This window comes from Homo sapiens, chromosome 5 (genome assembly GCF_000001405.40).
Source record: "Homo sapiens chromosome 5, GRCh38.p14 Primary Assembly".
In the NCBI taxonomy this organism is placed as follows: Eukaryota; Metazoa; Chordata; class Mammalia; order Primates; family Hominidae; genus Homo; species Homo sapiens.
The window spans coordinates 73875121-73894166 of record NC_000005.10 but is presented as its reverse complement, the minus strand read 5'-3'; the positions used below and the strand labels follow the sequence as shown (position 1 = coordinate 73894166).

General features: G+C 39.7%; 1 protein-coding gene across 5 annotated transcripts in view, besides 1 other annotated feature; it reads right to left on the bottom strand.

Moving 5' to 3' along the window:
* The window catches only part of ARHGEF28 (Rho guanine nucleotide exchange factor 28), a 315795-nt gene that overhangs the window by 47824 nt on the left and 248925 nt on the right, over window positions 1–19046 (bottom strand). For all 5 annotated transcript variants that reach the window (NM_001080479.3, NM_001177693.2, NM_001388076.1 and 2 more), the window contains 6 exons: window positions 11573–11695; window positions 10283–10400; window positions 8063–8317; window positions 6488–6564; window positions 1937–2115; window positions 879–970 (listed from right to left, as the gene is read on the bottom strand). In NM_001080479.3, coding sequence (NP_001073948.2) covers window positions 879–970; window positions 1937–2115; window positions 6488–6564; window positions 8063–8317; window positions 10283–10400; window positions 11573–11695 — 844 coding nt within the window. The remainder of the gene's footprint in view (window positions 1–878; window positions 971–1936; window positions 2116–6487; window positions 6565–8062; window positions 8318–10282; window positions 10401–11572; window positions 11696–19046) is intronic.
* Window positions 14020–14520: an enhancer, noted in NCBI's record as "H3K4me1 hESC enhancer chr5:73175472-73175972 (GRCh37/hg19 assembly coordinates)". NCBI's record gives its function as "activates a minimal SCP1, AML or CMV promoter by ChIP-STARR-seq in naive H9 embryonic stem cells {active_cell/tissue: H9 hESC(naive)}" and the evidence as "EXISTENCE:reporter gene assay evidence [ECO:0000049][PMID:30033119]".

The following is a 19046-nucleotide window of genomic DNA, read 5'->3' as shown; positions in this document are numbered from 1 at the left end:
GTAAATAAGGTTCCTTTCTCAGTCCCCTACTTCCAGAAAATTTGCAAAGCTATTCTTTGTTTGTTCAGGCTGTTTTCTATTAAGACTAAACATTAAGCTTAGGAATGAAAATTGAGGCGGCCCTGTCCATGATGAGTGAACAATACAAATGCCTGGAACGGCACAGGCTAAACCAAACATACTGGTTTAAGTTTTTGTTTCTAAACATCCAATTTCTTTGCCCATCTTTGCATGCATCATTGTCCTCAGATTTCAACATGTTACAGAATTCTTAAAGCTCAAAGGGACCTTAACTAGCATTGAATCCAGGAATTCTCAGTCCCCTCTGTGCTTCAAAGTCACCTTGGGAGAGCTGAAAACCCCAAAGTCTACATCCCACCTGCCACAGATTCGGATTCAATCGGTGGAGGGTGAGGCCCAGGCATCCGTATTTTTAAAGACCTCTCAACTGATTCCAGTGTCCAACCAGAGTAGAGAATCACTGAGCTAGTCTAATCTCCTTCTTTCACACACTTGCAAACTGGGGACAAGATCTGTTGGGTTCCTTGTCCAAAGTCATTGACATGACAGTGCTGAGACCTAAAATTAAACCATGAGACAAATAATTCCAACATTCATCTGCACCACACTGCCCACAGCTGTTGTTTCATATATGTTATGTGCATTTTTTACATCCATTTTAATCACTAAGGTGGAAGTGAAGAGAATGTCATCTTATTTGAGCATTTCTAGTGTAAGTTTCTCGGGAGGGTGGTCCAGGTGGGCCTCAGGTGCACAGGATGAATCATGTAGTTATAACCTCCTGTTCATGACACTCAGGCTTTCCCAACACCCAGGAGAACACCACGACCAGGGAGCCAGAAGTGCCTGCACTGTACCTTGACATTGCTGAATTTTGGCCACTCTGGCTTCAGCTTTCCTCTTGTCTTCATCAGATTCACTTGTCCTTCCCCCTTTTTCTTCAGGACAACTTTAAAAGACAATAGTCAAGAGACACAACTGAAACCAAATGCAAGTATCTGTAGATTCATTAGAAAAACATGGGAACTTGGCAATAGATTTATTCATAAAGGAGAAAATTTCAGCATAAAGGGAATGCATCATCCCCCCTGGCCAGAGACTTGGTTTTCTTGAGAATACAAAGAATCTTGCATAACATTACATGGCTCTCAAAATCGGTGGTGTGGGATGACTCAAATATTCCAGTGAACACAAACATACACTCACCACACACACCCATAATGGGAATAAAGTATAAGAATTGTAAAGGATAGAAGTGGGGTGCCAGGGCAGATGGGGTGCAGTAGAGGTAGAGAAATTTTATATAACTTCAGGATCTAACTAATCAAACTACTGTTGAGAATGATCACCCCCACCCTTGTGCTCCCAATTATAAAAACTGTCCTTGCACAAGTAATGAGGAATAAATTGACTTAGAATACTTAGATCCACCAATTCAGAAACATTTATTGAATGATTTCTCAGCACTAGGCACACAGAGAAACATAAGACATGAACCCTGCCCTCGAGGAGCTTCCAATCTAATTAAATAAACACACACATATGTACATAAAAAAGATAATAGCTACAAGGCAGTATATAAGAAGCATCAAGTAAATGCTTTAGTGAGCAGGTGTTAAAGAATTTCAGGCAAGAAAGAGATCACCAGGACTGAAGGGGTCCTCATGGAGGAGGGGAGGCCCGAGCTGCATCAACGCCCGGCAGGGTGCACACAGGCAGAGGGAGGTGCAGGCATTACATGCAGGGAGGCGTGGAGGAGAAAGCTGCAGATGGGGGGCTATCGCAGGCAGGTGCAGGGGGCAGGGGGCAGACCATTCTGGCAGAGGCAAAGTTTTCATGCAGGAAGACATGGTTAGAATATTTTCCCCAGTTGAACAACTCTGTTCCATAGATTATGGACGGAAGGAAATGTTACCTTTCTACAGCCTGCTGGATCCGTCTCATCCAGTTATTGCGTTCCTCCTTGGAATTGGTGTGAATTTCATACATCTCAGGACCAGCAGATGAAGCACTGATCAGAAACATTCCTCTCTCCTCATTAGCAACTTCTCTAGCAATAAGCTTTTGAAGGGAAATAACTGATGGCTTCTGATCCTACATAAAATAGGAAGGTGAGCAGATGAAACAGCATCCTAGCTAAAGTAAGGCTCCGTAAAACATGAGCTAAAGGAAGCAAGAGTACTAGGTAAACCTTTCTCCACTTCCAATCTTTTCAAAAGAGCTGTAGAAGTTGATACAATCTCCAATGGAGACGGTATGGAAAAGAGAGGATGGAAAAAGAGGAATTATAGGCATGCTCATCCTTAAGAATTGGTGGTTTAGGCCGGGCCCAACGGCTCCCTCCTGTAATCCCAGCACTTTGGGAGGCCGAGGCAGGTGAATCACTTGAGGTCAGCAGTTCAAGACCAGCCTGGCCAATGTGGTGAAACCCCATCTATACTAAAAACACAAAAATTAGCCAGATGTGCTGGTGTGCGCCTGTAGTCTCAGCTGCTTGGGAGGCTGAGGCATGAGAATTGCTTGAACCTGGGAGGCAGAGGTTGCAGTGAGCGCACTCCAGCCTGGGCAACAGAGCAAGACTCCATCTCAAAAAAAGAAAAAAAAAAGGAATTGGTTGTTTAAAAACTGAACTTTTTAAAAGACAGAACAATCAGAGAAGAAAAATATCAAAATGCCATAGTCAAGGCAGGAGAAGTTTTTCTAAGAGAGCATGAGATAGGAAACTATGTCAAATGTCAAAGAGACTGAGAAGGAGGGAGGCCCTAAAAAGTCCATTAGACTTGCAATACTCTTTCAATAAGGTGACGGAACAGAAGCCCAGAAACTCAGAAGCCCAGCCCATGGACTATAAAAGTGACTACAAAAGATACGAATAAGTGGCAAGACCTTTGATTCCCCAGGCGTAACCAATCCTTTTTGCTACTGTCATGTGGGTCACAGCAACAAAATGGTCTACAAGTTCTTGCCTCTTCTCACCAAGCAGATGAGCCCTTGGTGGGTGGGAATGGGTCTCATTCATCTTCATGCACCTAGCACATAGCCAAGCATAGAGTAGGCACTCAATAAATGTTGGTAGGACTAGTTTCACATAAGTCCACCACAGGGTAATAGGAAGAAAGTCTAAAATTTGGCATGTACGCCATGATTAAACCACCTCTTCTACCAACATCTACTGTGATCCTCCAATGTCTTTTTCTAAACACTGGGGATTCAAAGAGGAACAGCACACTGATGATGCTTGGTAGGTAGATGTAGTTGAAAGAATGGCCAAAAGAATGACTTCAAGATGAACAGTTTGGGGGATAATATGAAGAATTCTTCTTTGGTCTGTGGCTTCCACCAGTGTTTACAGAGCTGGTTGCAGTGTGTGGTTTTGCTTCACCATCATGGACTGAGCGACGCCTTTATCCAGAACATGCCACTGTTCCCTCACTGCTGACTCCTTGGTGCTGGCTTGTCGGCTTTCCCAGCATCATACAGCTTGGCCATATCAGAGGCTGTGTGCCATGGTGACCCAGAGTACCTCCTCACCCCACGCTTCTCAGAGTAGCATGAGAGTAAAAATATAATGGGACAAGACCACTAGTCTATACAGCCTGTGCTCAGCCTCTGAAAATGGAAGCAAAAGCAGCCCCATGGCAGAGTTGTTGGAATACTGCCCTCTCTAATTAGGGAGATCCTTGGAGCATTGTTAATCTGGCTTATTCTATTATGGACCTACTCCCTTATCTGTTTCCCTGATGCAATGTGCAATGTACTTTATAGCTTCCTCAGCTGACAAGGTAAACAGCCTCTGTATGTAAAAAGGCAGAGTAGGTTTACTTGCTTAAGACATGAGCAAGAGTGCAATTATTTGAACCAGTTGGTTAGTGTTGCAGGGGAGGGGAGGTGGCAGGGTAAGATCTTTTCAAAGTGAAGAACAGGTAAGTGCAAGGAAAGTAGCATTCATTCGATCACCATCAGACCAGGGGGCATGGGAACCTGTCCATCGGTATTCATACTAACCACGCACAAACACTGGAGATGAACAAACATTCAAATTAACTCTCCAGGAATGGAAGTACCATGTCTGCCTTGGAGGTAGATGTCAAACACTAGTAATGCAAAGGGCTAACCCAGCTTGCAGAGATGTTTTATTTGTGCCACGGCATTTAACAAACAAAGTTTAAAAATCAGTTCTCAGCATTTAAATACTAGAGGATTTCACTTTTTAAAAACTTTACATTTCTGGGTTCTTGGGGAAAGCAGAAGATGAGCAATCCTGGGCCCATATTCTCATTTTAAAACACTGGCTATAGCCAAGTAATCCCTGACATCTTTGAGACAGGGCACAGACTCACTTTTCACTACAGTCCCTACAACTTTCTATTGTCTCATTGCTTCTGACCCTATCACATTCACTCAATCACATTTCTGCCCAATGCCTACAGGCATTAGGAGTTGAAGACCTCTAATGTAGGAGAAGATGAAAGGAGCTGCCATGCTTAGCTGTATTGTTACACCGTATCCATTTTGTGCTGATTCTATTATCCAGGGATTGCATTGTGATAAAGAGATTTTAAAGCTGCTTCCTATTTGGAACTTCAGCCTGCAGGTCCACATGTTCACTGTCTTGGTTGTTTGCTCCTTTTGAATTTGCCTTCTTTGATGTTCAAGAGATTCCTCCTAGACTCAGTATTCTAAGACTTAGTGAACACATCTACTTTTTCTTAACACATTTTGTAGGTTTGGGCTCTGCCCCAATTTCCAGCTGAGTCCTTTATAAAAACAAAAACAAAGCAAAACTGTCTTGTAGGGACCCACTACTCCATCCTCTTGCTACTTTAACTGCTTATCTTCTGGCTACTTCCAAATTCATCACGTTTTCTGTAACATGCAGCAAGACAAGCACCTAGGGAAGAAGTGTTTTCTAAAGGGCACAAGGAGTGGAGAATCTCACTTGTACTAGCTTGAGGAAAACTTTCTAAAATTCTAGGATGGGAGCTAGGAAATCCAGATATCTGTATATCCCTAGCCAAATGCTTCAATTTCCTACAGTGTTAACTATAAGATATTTGTGACACATGGGCTATTGTCAGATAGATGTAACTCAGGAGTGTATGAACAGTAGGGTGCACCTGACTCTTCAAGGATAAAATGATGCTTTCTCTTTTGCTCTCTGATACCACCAAGGGCTTAGCTGTCATTTATGAATGCAGTTACATGTCAGGTTAACACATTTAAGAAATAGTATCAGTATAGCCAAACACATTCCACCAAGAAGAGCTAGGTTGTAACTGTCTTCATTCTGCCATTTGGTGGATTGCATTCCTAATACCTCACTTAATGGTAAATGTTGTCTATGGGTAGCACAGATAATGCCTCAGGAGGTCATATGAGACAAGAGGGAAAGAATCATATTTCCAGGCGCGCTCTAAGTTGAGCATTACAGGATCTGAATCCATATGCTACCTCGTCCTAAAAAACAAGGTAGTTGTATTTATATTATCTACTTCATGATCAGTCAGCAGGACATCTGTCCGGTAATATCATCCAAGAAGCAGAATTTGCTTTTCTTTTAGGTCTTTGGTTTTAAAGAAGCATTGGTTTCTATAAAGATGTGAATTTGTTTCCTGTTCCTACATGGCCCTCACCATCCCACAGGTTAAACAAAATGGTCCCCACCTTCCCACTTATTTCTCAGGTTCTTTAAGAGAATCTCAAGCATCTCAGGTAACAGCATTGAGAAGCTGCTGGACAAACCAATAGGTTTTCATGAAATTTGTAATACAGTTCAAATTGATTGGGAACATAGAGACTTCTTCAAGCCTTCTTATTATCTATATGCTAGCAATTAGATTACTCTAACACACTACAAAAATAGTTTCATACACTGTCTTTAGAAGCTACTATAGTAAAAATAAGAAAGAATCTTCTGTCAACATTAGGCATCAGGATGGTATCCCTTGTCTGGCAGAAGGCACACGATGGCAGTCACGGGGTTAGTAAGTGGGAGAGCAGGGCCAATGGGCATGGAGAAAGCCAGGTGCTGGAAGAGATTGGCTGTGCCCAGCATTCACATTTTAGTTGCTGGATCTAAGGGAAGGGGTTTGGGGGCCGAAGGGGCGGGGAAGAGAGGAGTCTGGAGGAAAGACCAAGATAGCTAGATGGCGTGGGGACATTTGGGAGGCTCAGGGCAATGCCTGTTCACCAACCACTACTGAAGGACTGCAATATTCTCACAGTTGGCTACACTGCTGAACCAGCTGAGTACCAGCCCTGGTTGTGATGACGCAACACTTACTATGCTAATTTAACCTAATGAGATGCTTGTCTCTAAACACTGCAATCACAAGTAATAATGGAAACATAACAGAAGCATATACTTCCCTGTGACTATTATATTTCACTAGGAATTTTAGGTATTTTTCAAGAAAATGTGTGGTTAAACCTATTTTTTAAATACATCACACAGTCATATACTTACAACGGCTGCAAAGATGTATTTCTGGTCTTTTTCTTGTAAAAAGAGCAGCACATCAGTTAGAAGTAGAGCTAGGATATCTTTAAAGAAAAAACATTACTAGTATTAATGAAGCAAACCACAGTTCAAATAAACTGAATAAAAATCAAAAGACTAAGATTTAGTCTAAGTATGAAAGTTTTATAAAAATACCTGTATTATGATAGCCAAAGATATATGCTATTAATAACTTAATAGAAAGCTGTCTTTAAGTGTGCATGTTTGTGTGTGGCTGTAGGTATAGGTAAATCTCCAGCAAAGTTTAATGTAGTCACTTTCAAAACAGAAGAAAAATATCCATTAAAAAAGGAAGCTTTAATAAAATGGAGCAAACTCTTACCTTCGGCAGGAAAAGTGCTGAATTAAAAATGTAAAAGGGCAGCTTCTACCTCAAATTATATAGGCCTGCTATTTTGTTTCATCTAGATCTGAGCAAGGTTTAAGATTCCATACTTCCCTTACACATTGTTCACAAGAACTCATCTTCATTGCACCCACTGAATAGTCTAACACAAAGTTACCAAACTGATTCTATTAAATGGATAAACAGCAAATGACTTCGAGCAATAGAATCTACAGGTTGTGGTTAATATTTTTTTCAATACAACATTGCTAGTTGTTGATCAACAAATCCCATTTCAGATATTAGTTGCAACCTCCATCCAAACTTGATCATCCTCCAATGGGTAATAATTTTTGAGTAGCTAGAATTTAACAACCTCTTCCTCTCACTGCCTACCTATGGATGTTATTAAGATGAACTGTTAGAAACAGTGGTTCTTAGCCCTGGCTGCAGAGTAGTCTCACTTGGGGAGCCTTTAAACATCCCATGGGCTTTGGTTTCATCCTCACAGTGATAAAAATCAGAATCTCTGGGAGGAGACATGAGCATTCGTAATGTTTTCCAGCTCCAGAGGTGATTCTAGTGTGTGGCCAGGGTGAGAAAGCCTGGATTAGGCAGTGTGATAGCTACATAATGAGTCCTTAAAAAATGGAATTATCTGCTTTAGACTCCTGAACAGAGTCAAGTTCATGCCAGTTAGCAAACAGTAGCACTGAGGAAAAGCTTAAACCACGTCAGCAGGTGTGTGGATATATTCTATTAGTCAGTAACAAAGATGACATTCAGAGTTCTTTTTATTTCTCCCCTCCATTGTCTGACAGCCCTAGGCTGTGTTGACATGCAACAGACCCTAGGTGTGTAGGTGTACTGCCTTGCTTTCAACACACCACAGTTACCAGAATAATTTTTCTGTGTCAACAATTAGCAGAACTCTCAGTTCATTTGATTTCAGACATCACAAACTTGCAAATTCATAAAACATGTATAAAGGTTTTAGCTTGGGCAGCAAACTCCCACCAAAGATTTGTATCATTGGCCAAATTTGCCTATTGAAATTCACAAATCAATCTTTCAACTGACCCAGGGTTTGCGCATGTGTGCCTGCAATTCTGAACTGTTTTTCTTTTGAAAATCTGTCCTCTGTTAAATGAATAATGTGTATGAAGGGAGAAATTGGTCTGGTAGAGCCACAGTACCTTTGAAACGACCTGTAGCAGTTTTCCAGTAAACAAGGCCATCATATAACAGAGTCCTTTCTTCACTCATCAGTGCCTGCTTCCTAAACACATGTCCATTTTTGAGCTTCGTGTATGTTTTGTTTTCAATCTTATTTAGGATCTCAAGCCATTTTTGGTTTTTCTCATATTCATTGACTTTTAAATCCACTGTTGCAATCATGTCTTTAATTAAGCAAAGCGCTTTGCGTAAGTCTTTATGTTCCTCAGTTCTTTCTGCGTGGGAAAAAGAAACAAACAAACAAAAATACTATACAATAAACCAGAGTACTAAGGAAGAAAACTTCTTCTTTAGTTTTAAAATATAGTTAAATGTATCATCTAAACAATAAAAATCCCATAAGAAAAATGTTGGATTAAACTTAAATTCCTAGCCTGGGCAACATGGCAAAACCCTGTTTCTACCAAAAAAGATACAAAAATTAGCCAGGCATAGTGGCATGTGCCTTTTGTCCCAGCTACTCAAGAGGCTTAGGTGGGAGGAGAGTTTGAGCCTGGGAGGTAGAGGTTGCAGGGAACCAAGACTGTACCACTCCACTCCAGCCTACGAGACAGAGTGAGACTCTGTCTCGAAGAAAAAAAAAAAAAAAATTAAATCCTATAATACCACTCTGTACCACCCCCCCACCAAAAAAATGTTAAAATATTTTATTATGAAAGGTTTGCATGATTAAATGTGCTTCAGCTGACACATAGTCCTTCCGCTGACAGTAAGATGTCTGAGTTCTAGGGATGGGTCTGACCTTCTCCCTAGGGCAGGAAATGTGTTATATACTAACTTAGGCCTTCCTTCCACCTTCTTAGACATAGGTAATCAATAATCTCCATGCCAAGTTTCTTAAAACTTAAGCCAGCTGTGGGGCAAAGCCAGCAATGCTTTCAGAAACAGAGCCACAGGGTTATGTGAATGAGCCTCAGATTCATTTATATTCCTTGATCCCTTCCTCCATAAAATTAACATTCAAAATTATATTTTATAACTGCATTAGCATAAATATGAATATATTACTATTATAATTAAACAATTTTCTTTGACCATTTTATTTAAAATTAAATATTTTAATTTCTTTTACCATCAGAAGAAAAAATGAATTTTCTTCTTCTGATGGGAAAAGAAAATATTTTCATGGTACCCAAGTGCTGTGCTAACGGACAAATCAGCCATGCTCATACCAAGAGCAAATAATTATTGATTTCAGTTGTTATTCTTTAAAATACTGGCTACCTGCTCTTGTCTCTAGATTATCTTATGAAAATACTCTGAAGGAGTTTCTGGAGCAGCATTGATATTTGGTGATAAAGACCACCTAGTTGATGTTTATTAAGGCAACTGGAACTGAAAGGTAATGTTTCATGTCATTTCGTAGTGGAGATAACTGAGGCTCAGTTAATAATTTGCCCAATGAATGAGTGGCAGAGCTGAGTATATACAATGCAACACAAGTGTACAAAATTCCAAACCCAAGCCCTTTTTAACATAACACACTACCACCCTAATAATAATCTTTACTCAAGATCAATATGTTAGCTTGAGGATTAGACCATTTTATTTATTCATTCATTGCATTGATATGTTTTTATTTATTGATCATCTATTCTGTACCAGCCATTGCACTAGACATTGAAGATTCAGCTGTAAACCAGACAGACACAGGTCTTATAGATCCCACAAGGAGCTTACAGACCAGCCATGTGCATTCATAGCTTCTTAAAAGATGCCCATATGTTACTCCCTGGAACTTGATGAATTGACAGGGTCAAAAATAGATCCTTCTTATAATCCCTCTCAACTTAATAACAGATTGCTTGGGAGAGTTGACATTTTGTGATAGGATCAATAGCATGTTTCATCAGACTGTTGTGAAGGTAATAGGAAAATGAGGAAGAGGAGGTATTAAGAAAGCCCAGTGGTGGGGAAAATAAAGAGAAGAAAGGCAGGTTCAAAGTAAGAAGAAGCCAGCTTGGTTTGGGCTACCTGTAGAAATTCAGACTATTTACCCATGCTGCATTATAAAAGATAATTTCTAAAAACTAATCCAAATTCTAAGGCTTTAACAGTTTCTCCGTCGTGAAACTCTTTATGAATCAGAGACCACAAACACTGATGGCTGTTTAGAACACCTCAACTGTGTTTAAAACTAATAAGAGGGGCAAATTTTTATCCCAGAAGTCACAACTTACCCTTTGTGTACTGCAATATCCTTTCCACCAAGACAGGGTATTTTGTAATACGCTGAGTGACCAACAGAATGCATTCTGGAATTCCTCGGCGTCGAGCCAAAAGATTACTATTTCGGAGCTTAAAAAATATATACTTTTATGTACACAAATTCTACCTGTATTTACTTTTCAGGTGTGAATGTAACAATACAAAGAATCTGCAACAGTACAATTTTATGCAGACTTAACATTCATTGCTATCAATTAAAACGATGCATTATCACTAATTTAAATTGCATACTTTGTCATAAATTTCAGTACCCCAACTCTCCATGATTTTAAGAAGTTTCAAGTTACTGATGTATTTGTAGTTAATTTCAAAAGAAGTTCCAATACTTCTAAGTGCCTCGATTTATGAATAGCAAAATTTTTGAAAAATAATCATAAATCAAAGTCAACTTTGAACATCAGTTTGCAGTTTACCATTTGTTTTCCCAACAGGTCTTCCTCCACATTTGTTATTATTCATTATAACTCTTAGAGTTCCCTCTAATCAGGACAACTTTTTTTCTAAAAATATCAAAGTATTCCTCATAGTATTCAAGTCCTCAACACACATTTATGTGGTAAAAAAGGGAAGAGAATCTGGTAGCATTCTTAACATGGCAGATAAAAATTTAGAATCCAGGAAACTTTATAAGACAAATTTCTTCAACAAATAAATCAGAAGAAGAAAAAAGGGGTGGGATAACATTCAAATGAAAAGAGATTTAAGAGATATAACCACCTCATACAATAAGTGAACCTTGGTCAGATTCTGATTTAAGTAATCCAATTTTATGAGATAATCAGTGAAATTTTAAGATATCAAAAACTATTGTTACTTTATTTGTATAATAATGTCATAATTTTTAACTTTTTCATCTGGAGAAAACTATTACAGATGAAATTATATGATGTCATGAATCTGCTTCAAGCTAATTCAGAAGTGGAGTAGATTCTGTGTTTATTTTCACTTTGATTTTTCTGATATATAACTTGGCATGAAACAGCTTCCCAGTATGTTACAAATATTCTCAGAAGGTTGGAAGACATGACCTCACAAATATACAAAAGGAAATGATTTGGGGGCAATATTTTACTAATACAGAAAAAGAGACTTTCCACCTTTGTCACAAACATTCCACCTCCCTTCTTCTTCCCCTGAAAAGCATCATTAGCTAAGAAATTTGTTTAAATCATTAAGAAACAAGCATAAACTATTTCTCCATGCTGATTTATCACTTTGTAATAAAGTTTTAAAATACTTGCCTTAATAAAATTCTGAAACTTTTTATTCTGCTGGAGTTCTTTAAAGAGGTTAACAGCTTCTTTATGATGGCAACAGAATTCTCCATATATTTTCTTCATTTTACTTGCATTTTCTTCTGAAAACTGGAAGAATAACATTTAAATAATGGTTTGTAAATTTAGTAAGTTCTAAACACACAAAAAATATGCAATTTTCATCTATTTCAAAATAGTATTTGCAAATAAAAAATAAATATCATGGAATTTCTGAACACAATCACTTATCTCCTCAGACATTTTTTAAATTAAAATAAAAGAAAGTTGTTGAGTGGTAAGGGTCAACATAATGTGATATTATATTGAACTAATATAATTATCAAATAGCCAAATGAAAAACATTTGATCTATTTTATTCTCATCTTAGTTATAATACAAATTTATAATTTCAATTTATAGTTTTAATACTTTTATAGATTGAAAGAAAAGTATATGGCAACATTTAGGGGCCTTCAGGAAGGTCTGGCCCCCCAAAAAAAATCACTCATTTGACATTTACTTTGGCTAACCTCCCCCCCAAAAAAATCACCCATTTGGCATTTACACTGGCTAATGACCATGTCCATAGACTGAGTCCTTAGTAGGGAATTTGATTTTTTGTTCACACATTACAAATAGATCAAGGGCAGGCTATCATTAGCCAAGATGAAAGACACCAGTGAATAACCAGAATGCCTGTTTATTAGCTAATGAAGAAAAGTAGAGATGTGGGCTGGATGTTTCAATAAGCCTTACCTGTAGAAAAACATCTGTAGAAAATCCACATAGAAATCAACTTAGAATCATAAGGTGCTGTGAAGAGAACTAGTTGAATGACTTGAATGCCATTTTTTTAGACTGTGATGGCCTTACATGCACACGTCCCCTTGAAGAGCATTGTAATGGAAACCGGAACACACCCACCCTCTTAAAAGTACTTAAAATTTACATCACGACCTCTGGTCTTTTCATCTTTGCTTATATGAATGTGTGGGGCCAATAAGCCTCAAATGATAATTCTTAAACCACTTACAATCATTCAAAAAAATCACCTGGGTACAAATCTAACAAAACACATATATGACTCATAGTAAAAACTATACAATGCCAGTGAAAGATGACAAAAATCTAAATAAATGAAGTGCTATATGATGTTCATGGATTAGAAGACTCAAAATAGTAAAGATGTCAATTTTCTTCAAACTGATATACAGTTTTAGTACAATTCTTAACAAAATCCCAGTATGCTTTTTAAAAATATAAATAAGACTATTCTAGAATATATATGAAAAAGGAAAGGAACTAGAACAGCTAGAACAATTTTGGAAAAAATAATAAAGTGGAAGGACTCATTCTTCTAAGATTATATAGCTACAGTTACTAAGACTATGGAAAGATAGATCCATAGATCAGTGAAACAAAATGGTAACCCAGATGCCCACATGATTTTTGACAAAAATGCAAAAGCAATTAGAGGAAAAATAGCCTTTTCAACGAATGGCACTGGAGCAATTGGACAGCCATAGACAAAAAAAAAAAAAACCTGAACTTAACCTACTAAGTCTCATAACCTGCACAAAAAAACACTCAAAGTACAACACACACTTAAATGTAAAACAACAAACTGTACAACTTTTTTTTTTGAGGCAGGGTGCCACTTCTGATGCCCACCCAGGCTGGAGTGCAGGAGAAGGATCTCGGCTCACTGCAACCTCAACCTCCCAGGCTCAGGCGATCTGCCCACCTCAGCCCACAAATAGCTGGGACTACAAGTGCATACCACCACGCCAAGCTAATTTTTGTATTTTTTGTAGAGACAGGGATTCATCATGATGCTCAGGCTGGTCTCAAACTCTTGAGCTCAAGTGATCCATCCACCTCGGCCTCCCAAAGTGCTGGGCTTACAGGCGTGAGCCACCATGCCCAGCAAAAACTGTAAATCCTTTTTTAAAAATAGGAGAACATGTTTGAGACCTAGGGCTAGACAAAGAATCCTTAAACTTGAAACTACAAGATGGCCGAATAGGAACAGCTCCGGTCTACAGCTCCTAGCGTGAGCAACGCAGAAGACGGGTGATTTCTGCATTTCCATCTGAGGTACCGGGTTCATCTCACTAGGGAGTGCCAGACAGTGGGCGCAGGACAGTGGGTGCAGCACACCATGCGTGAGCTGAAGCAGGGCGAGGCATTGCCTCACTTGGGAAGTGCAAGGGGTCAGGGAGTTCCCTTTCCTGGTCAAGGAAAGGGGTGACAGACGGCACCTGGAAAATTGGGTCACTCCCACCAGAATACTGCGCTTTTCCGACGGGCTTAGGAAACGGCGCACCAGGATATTATATCCCACACCTGGCTCGGAGGGTCCTACACCCACGGAGTCTCGCTGATTGCTAGCACAGCAGTCTGAGAACAAACTGCAAGTCTGCAGCGAGGCTGGGGGAGGGGCGCCCGCCATTGCCCAGGCTCGCTTAGGTAAACAAAGCAGCGGGGAAGCTCCAAGTGGGTAGAGCCCACCACAGCTCAAGGAGGCCTGCCTGCCTCTGTAGGCTCCACCGCTGGGGGCAGGGCACAGACAAACAAAAAGACAGCAGTAACTCTGCAGACTTAAATGTCCTTGTCTGACAGCTTTGAAGACAGCAGTGGTTCTCCCAGCACACAGCTGGAGATCTGAGAACGGGCAGACTGCCTCCTCAAGTGGGTCCCTGACCCCTGACCCCCGAGCAGCCTAACTGGGAGGCACCCCCCAGTAGGGGCAGACTGACACCTCACATGGCCAGGTACTCCTCTGAGACAAAACTTCCAGAGGAACTATCAGACAGCAGCATTCGCGGTTCACAAAAATCCACATTTCTGCAGACACCGCTGCTGATACCCAGGCAAACAGGGTCTGGAGTGGACCTCTAGCAAACTCCAACAGACCTGCAGCTGAAGGTCCTGTCCGTTAGAAGGAAAACTAACAAACAGAAAGGACGTCCACACCAAAAACCCATCTGTACATCACCATCATCAAAGACCAAAAGTAGATAAAACCACAAAGATGGAGAAAAAACAGAGCAGAAAAACTGGAAACTCTAAAAAGCAGAGCGCCTCTCCTCCTCCAAAGGAATGCAGTTCCTCACCAGCAACGGAACAAAGCTGGACGGAGAATGACTTTGACGAGTTGAGAGAAGAAGGCTCCAGATGATCAAACTACTCTGAGCCACAGGAGGAAATTCAAACCAAAGGCAAAGAAGTTGAAAACTTTGAAAAAAATTTAGACGAATGTATAACTAGAATAACCAATACAGAGAAGTGTTTAAAGGAGCTGATGGAGCTGAAAGCCAAGGCTCGAGAACTACATGAAGAATGCAGAAGCCTCAGGAGCCGATGCGATCAGCTGGAAGGAAGGGTATCAGTGATGGAAGATGAAATGAATGAAATGAAGCAAGAAGGGAAGTTTAGAGAAAAAAGAATAAAAAGAAACGAACAAAGCCTCCAAGAAATATGGGACTATGTGAAAAGACCAAATCTGCGTCTGCTTGGTGTACCTGAAAGTGACGGGGAGAATGGAACCAAGTTGGAAAACACTCTGCAGGATATTATCCAGGAGAACTTCCCCAATCTAGCAAGGCAGGCCAACACTGAGATTCAGGAAATACAGAGAACGCCACAAAGGTACTCCTCGAGAAGACCAACTCCAAGACACATAATTGTCAGATTCACCAAAGTTGAAATGAAGGAAAAAATGTTAAGGGCAGCCAGAGAGAAAGGTCGGGTTACCCACAAAGGGAAGCCCATCAGACTAACAGCGGATCTCTCGGCAGAAACTCTACAAGCCAGAAGAGACTGGGGGCCAATATTCAACATTCTTAAAGAAAAGAATTTTCAACCTAGAATTTCATATCCAGCCAAACTAAGCTTCATAAGTGAAGGAGAAATAAAATACTTTACAGACAAGCAAATGCTGAGAGATTTTGTCACCACCAGGCCTGCCCTAAAAGAGCTCCTGAAGGAAGCACTAAACATGGAAAGGAACAACCGGTACCAGCCGCTGCAAAATCATGCCAAAATGTAAAGACCATCGAGACTAGGAAGAGACTGCATCAACTAACGAGGCAAATAACCAGCTAACATCATAATGACAGGATCAAATTCACACATAACAGTATTAACTTTAAATGTAAATGGACTAAATGCTCCAATTAAAAGACACAGACTGGCAAATTGGATAAAGAGTCAAGACTCATCAGTGTGCTGTATTCAGGAAACCCATCTCACGTGCAGAGACACACATAGGCTCAAAATAAAAGGATGGAGGAAGATCTACCAAGCAAATGGAAAACAAAAAAAGGCAGGGGTTGCAATCCTAATCTCGGATAAAACAGACTTTAAACCAACAAAGATCAAAAGAGACAAAGAAGGCCATTACATAATGGTAAAGGGATCAATTCAACAAGAAGAGCTAACTATCCTAAATATACATGCACCCAATACAGGAGCACCCAGATTCATAAAGCAAGTCTTGAGTGACCTACAAAGAGACTTAGACTCCCACACAATAATAATGGGAGACTTTAACACCCCACTGTCAGCATTAGACAGATCAACCAGACAGAAAGTTAACAAGGATACCCAGGAATTGAACTCAGCTCTGCACCAAGTGGACCTAATAGACATCTACAGAACTCTCCACCCCAAATCAACAGAATATATATTTTTTTCAGCACACCACACCACACCTATTCCAAAATTGGCCACACAGTTGGAAGTAAAGCTCTCCTCAGAAAATGTAAAAGAACAGAAATTATAACAAACTGTCTCTCAGACCACAGTGCAATCAAACTAGAACTCAGGATTAAGAAACTCACTCAAAACCACTCAACTACATGGAAACTGAACAACCTGCTCCTGAATGACTACTGGGTACATAACGAAATGAAGGCAGAAATAAAGATGTTCTTTGAAACCAACAAGAACAAAGACACAACATACCAGAATCTCTGGGACACATTCAAAGCAGTGTGTAGAGGGAAATTTATAGCACTAAATGCCCACAAGAGAAAGCAGGAAAGATCTAAAATTGACACCCTAACATCACAATTAAAAGAACTAGAAAAGCAAGAGCAAACACATTCAAAAGCTAGCAGAAGGCAAGAAATAACTAAAATCAGAGCAGAACTGAAGGAAATAGAGACGCAAAAAACCCTTCAAAAAATTAATGAATCCAGGAGCTGGTTTTTTGAAAGGATCAACAAAATTGATAGACCGCTAGCAAGACTAATAAAGAAGAAAAGAGAGAAGAATCAAATAGACGCAATAAAAAATGATAAAGGGGATATCACCACCGATCCCACAGAAATACAAACTACCACCAGAGAATACTACAAACACCTCTATGCAAATAAACTAGAAAATCTAGGAGAAATGGATAAATTCCTCGACACATACACTCTTCCAAGACTAAACCAGGAAGAAGTTGAATCTCTGAATAGACCAATAACAGGAGCTGAAATTGGGGCAATAATCAATAGCTTACCAACCAAAAAGAGTCCAGGACCAGATGGATTCACAGCCAAATTCTACCAGAGGTACAAGGAGGAACTGGTACCATTCCTTCTGAAACTATTCCAATCAATAGAAAAAGAGGGAATCCTCCCTAACTCATTTTATGAGGCCAGCATCATCCTGATACCAAAGCCTGGCAGAGACACAACCAAAAAAGAGAATTTTAGACCAATATCCATGATGAACACTGATGCAAAAATCCTCAATAAAATACTGGCAAACCGAATCCAGCAGCACATCAAAAAGCTTATGCACCATGATCAAGTGGGCTTCATCCCTGGGATGCAAGGCTGGTTCAATATACGCAAATCAATAAATGTAATCCAGCATATAAACAGAACCAAAGACAAAAACCACACGATTATCTCAATAGATGCAGAAAAGGCCTTTGACAAAATTCAACAACCCTTCATGCTAAAAACTCTCAATAAATTAGGTATTGATGGGACGTATCTCAAAATAATAAGAGCTATCTATGACAAACCCACAGCCAATATCATACTGAATGTGCAAAAACTGGAAGCATTCCCTTTGAAAACTGGCACAAGACAGGGATGCCCTCTCTCACCACTCCTATTCAACATAGTGTTGGAAGTTCTGGCCAGGGCAATTAGGCAGGAGAAGGAAATAAAGGGTATTCAATTAGGAAAAGAGGAAGTCAAATTGTCCCTGTTTGCAGATGACATCATTGTATATCTAGAAAACCCCATTGTCTCAGCCCAAAATCTCCTTAAGCTGATAAGCAACTTCAGCAAAGTCTCAGGATACAAAATCAATGTACAAAAATCACAAGCATTCTTATACACCAATAACAGACAAACAGAGAGCCAAATCATGAGTGAACTCCCATTCACAATTGCTTCAAAGAGAATAAAATACTTAGGAATCCAACTTACAAGGGACGTGAAGCACCTCTTCAAGGAGAACTACAAACCACTGCTCAATGAAATAAAAGAGGATACAAACAAATGGAAGAACATTCTATGCTCATGGGTAGGAAGAATCAATATCGTGAAAATGGCCATACTGCCCAAGGTAATTTATAGATTCAATGCCATCCCCATCAAGCTAGCAATGACTTTCTTCACAGAATTGGAAAAAACTACTTGAAAGTTCATATGGAACCAAAAAAGAGCCCGCATCGCCAAGTCAATCCTAAGCCAAAAGAACAAAGGTGGAGGCATCACACTACCTGACTGCAAACTATACTACAAGGCTACAGTAACCAAAACAGCATGGTACTGGTACCAAAACAGAGATATAGATCAATGGAATAGAACAGAGCCCTCAGAAATAACGCCGCATATCTACAACTATCTGATCTTTGACAAACCTGAGAAAAACAAGCAATGGGGAAAGGATTCCCTATTTAATAAATGGTGCTGGGAAAACTGGCTAGCCATATGTAGAAAGCTGAAACTGGATTCCTTCCTTACACCTTATACAAAAATTAATTCAAGATGGATTAAAGACTTACATGTTAGACCTAAAACCATAAAAACCCTAGAAGAAAACCTAGGCAATACCATTCAGGACATAGGCATGGGCAAGGACTTCATGTCTAAAACACCAAAAGCAATGGCAACAAAAGCCAAAATTGACAAATGGGATCTAATTAAACTAAAGAGCTTCCGCACAGCAAAAGAAACTACCATCAGAGTGAACAGGCAACCTACAAAATGGGAGAAAATTTTTGCAACCTACTCATCTGACAAAGGGCTAATATCCAGAATCTACAATGAACTCAAACAAATTTACAAGAAAAAAACAAACAACCCCATCAAAAAGTGGGTGAAGGATATGAACAGACACTTCTCAAAAGAAGATATTTATGCAGCCAAAAGACACATGAAAAAATGCTCATCATCACTGGCCATCAGAGAAATGCAAATCAAAACCACAATGAGATACCATCTCA